General features: G+C 37.6%; 1 annotated feature.

Moving 5' to 3' along the window:
• Nucleotides 7,728-8,300: an enhancer, noted in NCBI's record as "OCT4-NANOG hESC enhancer chr8:16152188-16152760 (GRCh37/hg19 assembly coordinates)". NCBI's record gives its function as "activates a minimal SCP1, AML or CMV promoter by ChIP-STARR-seq in primed H9 embryonic stem cells {active_cell/tissue: H9 hESC(primed)}" and the evidence as "EXISTENCE:reporter gene assay evidence [ECO:0000049][PMID:30033119]".

Raw genomic sequence — 8,535 nt, forward strand, 5'->3', positions numbered from 1 at the left:
AATGTAATGTGCATGCTAAAAAACACCGTTTAAAACTAACACATACCATATGGTTAATGCTCTGTGGAAATTTCTTTTTCTTACTATTAAATTTTATTATCCTGTATATTTAATTCCAGGACAAAATCTTATTTATTTGGTTTTTCTTATTTTTGCTACTACCATAACAACACATAATTCAATGACCCAAAGCTATCTTCCTCTTTTCCTTTTCTTTAATATTGTAATCTACATATGTGTCCCTGTTTAGGTATTGATATCATCTATCACAAAGGCTATTTTCTGCAGGTGTACATGTTCCTTTGATGACCTTAGTTTATTGTTACCAAAATTTATTAAATGTGATTCCTTGTCTACATAAACATTTTTTTTTTTCATTTAATAGTGAGGATTACAATGCAAGGACACTTTCACCTATTCCTGGGGGTGTTCATGAACAAATATAAAGCAGTGCTATGTGAAATGAATAAATATTGGGGGTGGAGTAAAGGAAATAGAACAGATTTCTGAAAGTACAACACATTTAAAAGAAATTTAATTTCTATAAATTTGTACCTTATTGCAGGCCTGGTTATAGAAAATCTATTCTTGAAAGCCCATTTCGTTTTATAAAATATTTTCCTTACCATACTTTAAAACTGAAACCATATAGTAATTTACAGAAGGGAGTGATGGGGGGCACGGTATTTAATACTAAGTTTAGGAAGAAAATATATCTTTTTTCTTCTTCTTTCTTTCTTTCTTTCTTTTTTTTTTTTTTGAGACAGGGTCTCACAATGGCATGATCTCGGCTCACTGCAGCTTCCCTCAGGATCCCAGATTTAAGCATTTCTCCCATCGCAGCCTCCCAAGTAGCTGGGACTAGTACAATCACGTGCCACCATGCCCCGCTATTTTTTTTTTTTTTTTTTTTGTATTTTTTGGTAGAGACAGGCTTTCACCATGTTCGTCAGGCTGGTCTTGAACTCCTGACCTCAAGTGATGTGCCCACCTCGGCCTCCCAAAGTGCTAGGATTACAGGCATGAGCTACTGCACTTGGCCTAGGAAGAGGAGATATCTATGTTGTTTCCTAAAAAGCCAAAAAACATGTAGAAAAAGATATATAGGAATATGCATTAAAATACAAGTATTCAAAAATATATAGAAATATGTAGAGGATTGCTTTCATCATAACACATACAATATCTGAGACACATTTAGGTTGATACCCAATAATTGTATTAAAGGTCAAGTGATAAAACTGTAAAGGGAATGATTTTTACTCAGTTAAAACACGTGAATATTTGTGCTATCACTTGATTAGTTCTCTGGTTCATTTTACTGTTAACTCATTAAACAACACCCACTATATTGTTTATTCAACTGTAATTTAATAAGCCATTGAGACTCATCCTTGAGAATTGGAGGAGAGGAAGGGGATCAGTAAAGAAACATCCATCACTGCTGTTCACAGAGTTCTTGCTAATGTGGCCAACAAACCATGTGTGAATGAAGGTCAATGACAATTGAGGGAAGACTTGGAAATAACTAGGGCAGGTCCAAGACATAACGAAGTGCGCCGTCTGGCCCTCTGTGCAAATGCATAGAAGAAAGTTGAAATTTTGTGTTTCCTTCTCATCAACATAATTCTGCCATGATTCCACATTCCTCTGGCTAAATTACCTTCTTTGTGGAATGTGGTAGTCTTCTCCTTCCTGCCTGCTGCTAGACCACAATAGAATTTGAAAAACGGACTGTGGATGCATTGTAGTTGGATAAAAAGTAAGAGAGGTGTTCATGTCTATGTATTGCCTTTCATAAAAGTTACTTTACATGGTTCTTGGAAGTTTCCCTTTGGCTCATGTCTTCGTTTAGTTGACTTTCTGAATTCTTAATTGCTTTATCTATTTATTCTTAATATATAGAACTAAATGAAAAAAGAAATTAAAACAAAAATCAAGAATAAAATTAATGATATTAAAAGCCTAATTGAAAGCGTTTGAAGTAATAATTAGGATAATGAGGAAAATCACTTTTCCGTTTTGCAATGTATTTTATTGCTATGTAATTTGTCTTAAATCATCCTGATTTGTATTGAACCATAATTTTTTTTTTTTCTTGAGATGGAGTCTTATTCTGTCGCCCAGGTTAGAGTGCAGTGGTGCAATCTCGGCTCACTGCAGCCTCCGCCTCCCTGGTTCAAGTGATTCTTCTGCCTTAGTCTCCCGAGTAGCTGGGATTACAGGCACCTGCCACTGCACCCGGCTAATTTTTGTATTTTTAGTAGAGACAGGGTTTCACCATCTTGGCCAGGCTGGTCTTGAACTCCTGACCTTCTGATCCACCTGCCTCAGCCTCCCAAAGTGCTGGAATTTCAGGCGTGACCCACTGCGCCCAGCCTGAACCATAAAAATTTAAACAAACAAATAAAAGACTACTATGACTAGGAAAATATCTGAGAGAAATGCTAAAGAAAATCTGGCATATAAAAATGCAAAGAATAAAAGAATTTATTTGTTGTAAGGTTGGACACTGTAATCAAAACATGCTCTTATTTCCTGATCAAGTTTTGTAAAATAAATCAGTAAACCCTGCTTTAATCTGTTTTTTCAAATTGACTGGCAAAATATGTATTAACATGGTTAATGAACCATAAAACACATTATTCATTGTTTTATTCAAAGATGCTTCTGCTAAAAATATTGTTATTTATACCTGCAGCTATAACTAAAAGAACAAACATCAAACTGACTTTGCTTTCCAAGTCATACAAATCATATAAAAACAATTCCACAAATGAAAATCAAACCTCTTTGACACGACACTTTTGTTTTATATGAGTATTACATCATCTCACATATTACATCCAGGTTTAGCATTGAGTTGTTCTTAAAATAAAGTTATTTAAACTTAATGTACTTCAGTGCAACTTGTCCCTACTCAGTATTTCATTGTACAGTGAGCTGCTAGTTAATATCTTATCATTTACCCCTGAATTTCAGTATTAATCAGGATTTCTGGGTGTACTTTAGTCAGCATTCCTTGACGTGACATTCTCATATATTCATCACTTTCCAATGTATTTTCTCTTCTAGAAATAGATTTGCATTCCTCACGAAGTTTTCATCTTTGTCTCTGGGCCTTTGTTTATATTTTAGTAACAGATATTATTCTATGGTAACTGTATAGTGGGCCTAGCAGAGTAAATAACATGCATAGGATGACCAACACACATAGGGTGACCAATGGTCCTGTTTTGCCTGGAACTGGACTGTTTTGTAGGACACAGGACTTTCAGCACTAGAAGCACAAAAGGAAAGAAAAAAAAAAATAGTCAGCTTATGAAGATTTGGTCACTTCACATATACTATGTTTTCAGTAAGGTAGAATTCCTTTACTTGTATCTCTTTCAATATTTCTTAATTCAAATGAAAAAAGATATCCCCCTATCCTTGAAGCATTTGGAAGATTTGTGTTCATGAAATTCTCTTCATCTAAATGCCACAGTGTCCTCTCCTATAAATCACTGTATTGGCCCTGAGCCTTTCTACATAGCTGTAAGTGGTTGTTTTGTCTGAGTGCTGTTGCTGAAGGGCTTGTCAACCATGACAGTGAGCAGACACAAAAACACCTCCATGTTTATATTTGAGAATTTTAATGTATAAGGACCTGTAAAATCATACCTACTCATTTTTTGGCTCTGGGGATCAAGTCAGGTAAATGCCGAAAACTCAAAAAGCATTCTACTCAATTTTTATAGTTGGATATTCAGTTTAAGCCTTTTGCTTCGTTTTGATTTTTGCTGTTTTCTCCATCCGGTGACTCAAGGATGTTGTTTAGATGTGTTTGTTCTCCCTTGGCTCATGGAAAGATTACAAAGTTCAAAGACAACTTCAATTGCTACAGATAGGTTTCCGAAGCCATGCTAGAAAGATGGGGCGAGAAAAAGTAGCAAGAGGAAGAAACCATGCCGTAGTTGGGGGCAAGGTCGGCTACATAACTTGTGGACTCCAGTGCAAAATAAAAACGCAGGGCCCCTTGTTCAAAAAAGGAGGAAAAATGCTTCATTCTTCCTTTTGTGATTTCCCTATAAACAGTCATGATGTTTTAAAATTTTATCTTAATGTTGCACTCTCTCAGCACAGGAATACTTATAGGGGAACACAGACCCTGACAAGTGCCAGGGGCCCCACTCTGTAACTAGGCTCATGGGACATGTGCCCAACCCTGAGCTTCTTCACATCCACACCCAGGACCCCTCTGAGGATAGAGGGTGTCAGCAGTCACTGGCAGAGACTGGGAAGCCAGCTGCTGAGAACCAGTCCAGGGAAGGCCAGAAAGCCCCAAAGCAAGACCATGTGTGTGTATCAGTGTTCTAAGGTCCTAGGGCATGCTGTATTCCCCCATCATACATCACTTTACAGTTCAAATTCAAAGGGAAATTTATTAAAATTATTAGGAGAGCAACCAGCGAGCATCAAACAGCAAGTCTCGGAGTGTGGAGCCCTGTCCGATTGCACTGGTCACATAGCCATGGAGCTGCCCCTTGGTGGGGGAAATTCACTATGACTAGAATCCTGGAGAGGAATCTATGAGTCTTGCAGCTGGCAGGACAGTAAAGGGTATTCAAGTCCCACTCCTGGCAATAATCCTCTAAAGGGAAAGAAACTCCAAGGAGATGGACATGGGACATGTCCATCTAGCTAACTAGCCTTTCTGAATCCCAAAACTGTTGAAAAATTATCTTGCTTAAATTTTACTTTAAAGGGCGATGTGATTTTGGACAGAAGAGATATCAGTGACAATGGCAACCTCAACATGAAAGCGTCCTTCCCAAGTTTCGGGCAAATACATGATAATCTCAGATCCTTGTTCAATGGTGTGAGGAAGCACCATTGCAAATGTTAGCAATTTTTATTTCCAGGCATTCCAACAGGACGGTGGATGCAGATTTAATGTGATTTAGTGGAACTAATACAGAGTGATTTTTCTTACACACAAAGTTTGGAAATAATACTCGAAGAAATGGCTGCTTTGTTACAAACTTTGATATATTATTGTTTATATAAGCAACTAGTAATATTATTGATAGTTAACATTTAGTATTTAATCACTATGCTTCGTATGCTGTTCTATTCATTTTATATGCATTATTTTACATAATCCTTATAGCACCATGTAAATGATATAATACTATTAACCTCCTTTTACACATGAGAAAATGAATGCAGACAGCATTTCATGAATTATCTAAAATGATACGTCTAGCAATTGTAGGTTCAGGATTTTACCAAATAAATAGGCTCCAGAACTTGTCATATAAACTATTAATAGGCTTACATTTACAATAAAATGGAAGTCATTACTTCATTTTACCTTCATTTCAATGTTGTTCATTTTTGTACCCAACCAAGAACTGATGGTAGAAATCGAATACAAATGTGTGCTTTTAAAACTTCAAATCTAGTTTTTGAAATTGCTTTTGGTGTTTGGACAATTTGGGAGATACCATAGGATAAAATATTACAGAATTTATTCATATAAGCCTATAATTGTTACTTCAAATGTGAAGTCTGGCTTTCAAGCCCAAACTGACCTGTTTGAAGTGGAAAATAAATATATTTTACAATGGATAACACAATAATACACAATTTGGTTGATCAGAATATGTGTATGCCTGAGTAGTCTTTATATGGCATATGATCTATTTAGCCCTACGAGATTGGAAAAGAAGAAAATGAAAAAAATATTTACACTTAAGAAATAACTTCAGGCCGGGCACAGTGGCTCATGCCTGTAATCCCAGCATTTTGAGAGGCCGAGGCGGGTGGGTAACCTGAAGTCAGGAGTTCAAGACCAGCCTGGCCAACATGGTGAAACCCCATCTCTAGTAAAAAAAAAAAAAAAAAAAAAAAAAAAAAATAGCTGGGCATGGTGATGCATGCCTGTAAACCCAGCTACTCAGGAGACTGAGGCAGGAGAATTGCTTGAACCTGGGATGCAGAGGTTACAGTGAATTGAGATTGCACCACTGCACTCCAGCCTGGGTGACACAGCAAGACCCTGTACCTTGTCTCAGAGGAGACTTTGGACTGTGGACTTTTGAGTTAAAGCTGAAATGAGTTAAGACTTTGGGGGACTGTTGAGAAGGCATGATTGATTTTGAAATGTGAAGACATGAGATTTGGGAGGGGCCAGGGGCAGAATGGTATGGTTTGGCTCTGTGTCCCCACCCAAATCTCATCTTATACTCCCATCATTTCCACGTGTTGTGGGAGGGACCCACTGAGAGATAATTGAATCTTGGAGATGGGTCTTTCCCATGATGTTCTTATGATAGTGAATAAGTCTTGTGAGATTTGATCATTTTAAAAACTGGAGTTTCCCTGTGTAAGCGCTATCTTTTGGCCTGCTGCCATCCATGTAAGATGTGACTTGCTCCTCCTTGCCTTCTGCCATGATTGTGAGGCTTCTCCATCCACATAGAACTGTAGATCGATTAAACCTCTTTCTTTTGTAAATTGCCCAGTATCAGGTATGTCTTTATCAGCAGCAGAGATTGGAACTGAGGGCGATAGCACATTTTTGTGCAACTCTATAATTTTTATTATTTCCTGAAGACAAATATATTTTCCGTTGTCAATGGAAAGATGGTGTGACTTCATTCCTGTGGCTGAAATTCCTTTCTTTTCTTTTGGGGAGGAAATAAGATGATTAGAATCGTGTTCTTCAGTGAACCACTATATGCGAATTTCAATGCCAGTGTTTGGAGATCCCCCATGGATTCTTGCAAAAAACTTAGAGGTAATCTTAACTACATTTAGATCTGAGGGATTTTGCCTCCCGATGGCTTCCCAAAGGCCAATCAGTAACCTAAGAGGTGGCAATGGCATAATAATGTATTCTAAATTATCTGGCAAATTTCACTTTCTGTAGAAGACTGTTTAGTCATTCAGACAAAGACAAATTTAATTATTGCACCAGGAGACTTCTTGGCAAAATTACATTTTCAGAATTTCATTTTAAGCAACTGCAAATCTATAGGTTTATATGTGCCAATCCTTCTCTTTTGTTTTGGATGGTTTGTTTTTGCAACAATATGTTTGCTATGGTCAAAGGATAATTCTCAGACAACTGTGCAAACATGTTTCATGAATTTCAATGTAATGCAAATGAAGCATGAAGCAGAGTTTAGCAAATTGCACAATTAATTCCGTGTAATACCATATATTTAATTCATCAATATAGACAGTTCTGAATAAAGCAATAAGTGAATCTAAATCTTCATTTGATAAAACTATTTGGTCAGTTGTTGCAGGAAGTCAGGGACCCCGAATGGAGGGACTGGCTGAAGCCGTAGCAGAAGAACATAAATTGAGAAGATTTCATGGAAATTTATTAGTTCCCCAAATTAATACTTTTATAATTTCTTACGCCTGTCTTTACTGCAATCTCTGAACATAAATTGTGAAGATTTCCTGGACGTTTATCACTTTCCCAATCCATACTCTTGTGATTTCCTATGCCTGTCTTCAATCTCTTAATCCTGTCATCTTCATAAGCTGAGGATATATGTCACCTCAGGACCCTGTGATGATTGCGTTAACTGCACAAATTGTTTGTAGAGCCTGTGTGTTTGAACAATATGAAATCTGGGCACCTTAAGAACAGGATAACAGCGATTTTCAGGGAACAAGTGAGATAACCTTAAAGTCTGGCTGCCTGTGGGCCAGGCAGGACAGAGCCATATTTCTCTTATTACCGAAAATGGGCCAGAGAAATATCGCTGAATTCTTTCCCCAGTAAGGAATATTAATAACAGCCCTGGGAAAAGAATGCATTCCCAGGGCAGGGCCTCTAAAATGGCCACCGTGGGAGTGTCTGCCTTATGCAGATGTAGATAAGGATGAAACATGCCCTAGTCTCCTGCAGCACCCCCAGGCTTGCTAGGATTAGGAAATTCCAGCCTGGCGAATTCTAGTCAGACCGGTTCTCTGCTCTTGAACCCTGACAATGCGTGCACAGCAGGACATGGAAGTTCATTAGTGATTCTGGTTTCTACCTGACCTTCTGCCTTGTGACCTTTTGTTGCCCTTGAAGCATGTGATCTCTGTGACCCACACCCTGTTCATACACTCCCTCCCCTTTGAAAACTGCTAATAAAAACTTGCTGGTTTTACGGCTCAGGGGGCATCACGGAACCTGCCGACATGTGATATCTCCCCCGGACACCCAGCTTCAAATTTCTGTCTTCTATACTCTTTCCCTTTATTTCTCAGACCGGCCAACACTGAGGGAAAATAGAAAAGGACCCATGTGAAATATTGGGGGCTGAATTTTCCCCGATAGTCAGTTAGATTATCCTTAAACTGAACAAAGTATTTTTTCCCATCCACCTTCATTTATCTGTGATTATGATTAAAATGAATTCTATTTCAAAAAAACTTTAGGAGATTAATCATATATGCCTTTGTCTTTTTAGGTGGGTTTAAATCATACAATGCTGCGTAATAGCTTAATATGGAAATTAAAAATATAATTAAATAAATTATAAA

This window comes from Homo sapiens, chromosome 8 (assembly GCF_000001405.40).
Source record: "Homo sapiens chromosome 8, GRCh38.p14 Primary Assembly".
NCBI classification, from domain to species: Eukaryota; Metazoa; Chordata; class Mammalia; order Primates; family Hominidae; genus Homo; species Homo sapiens.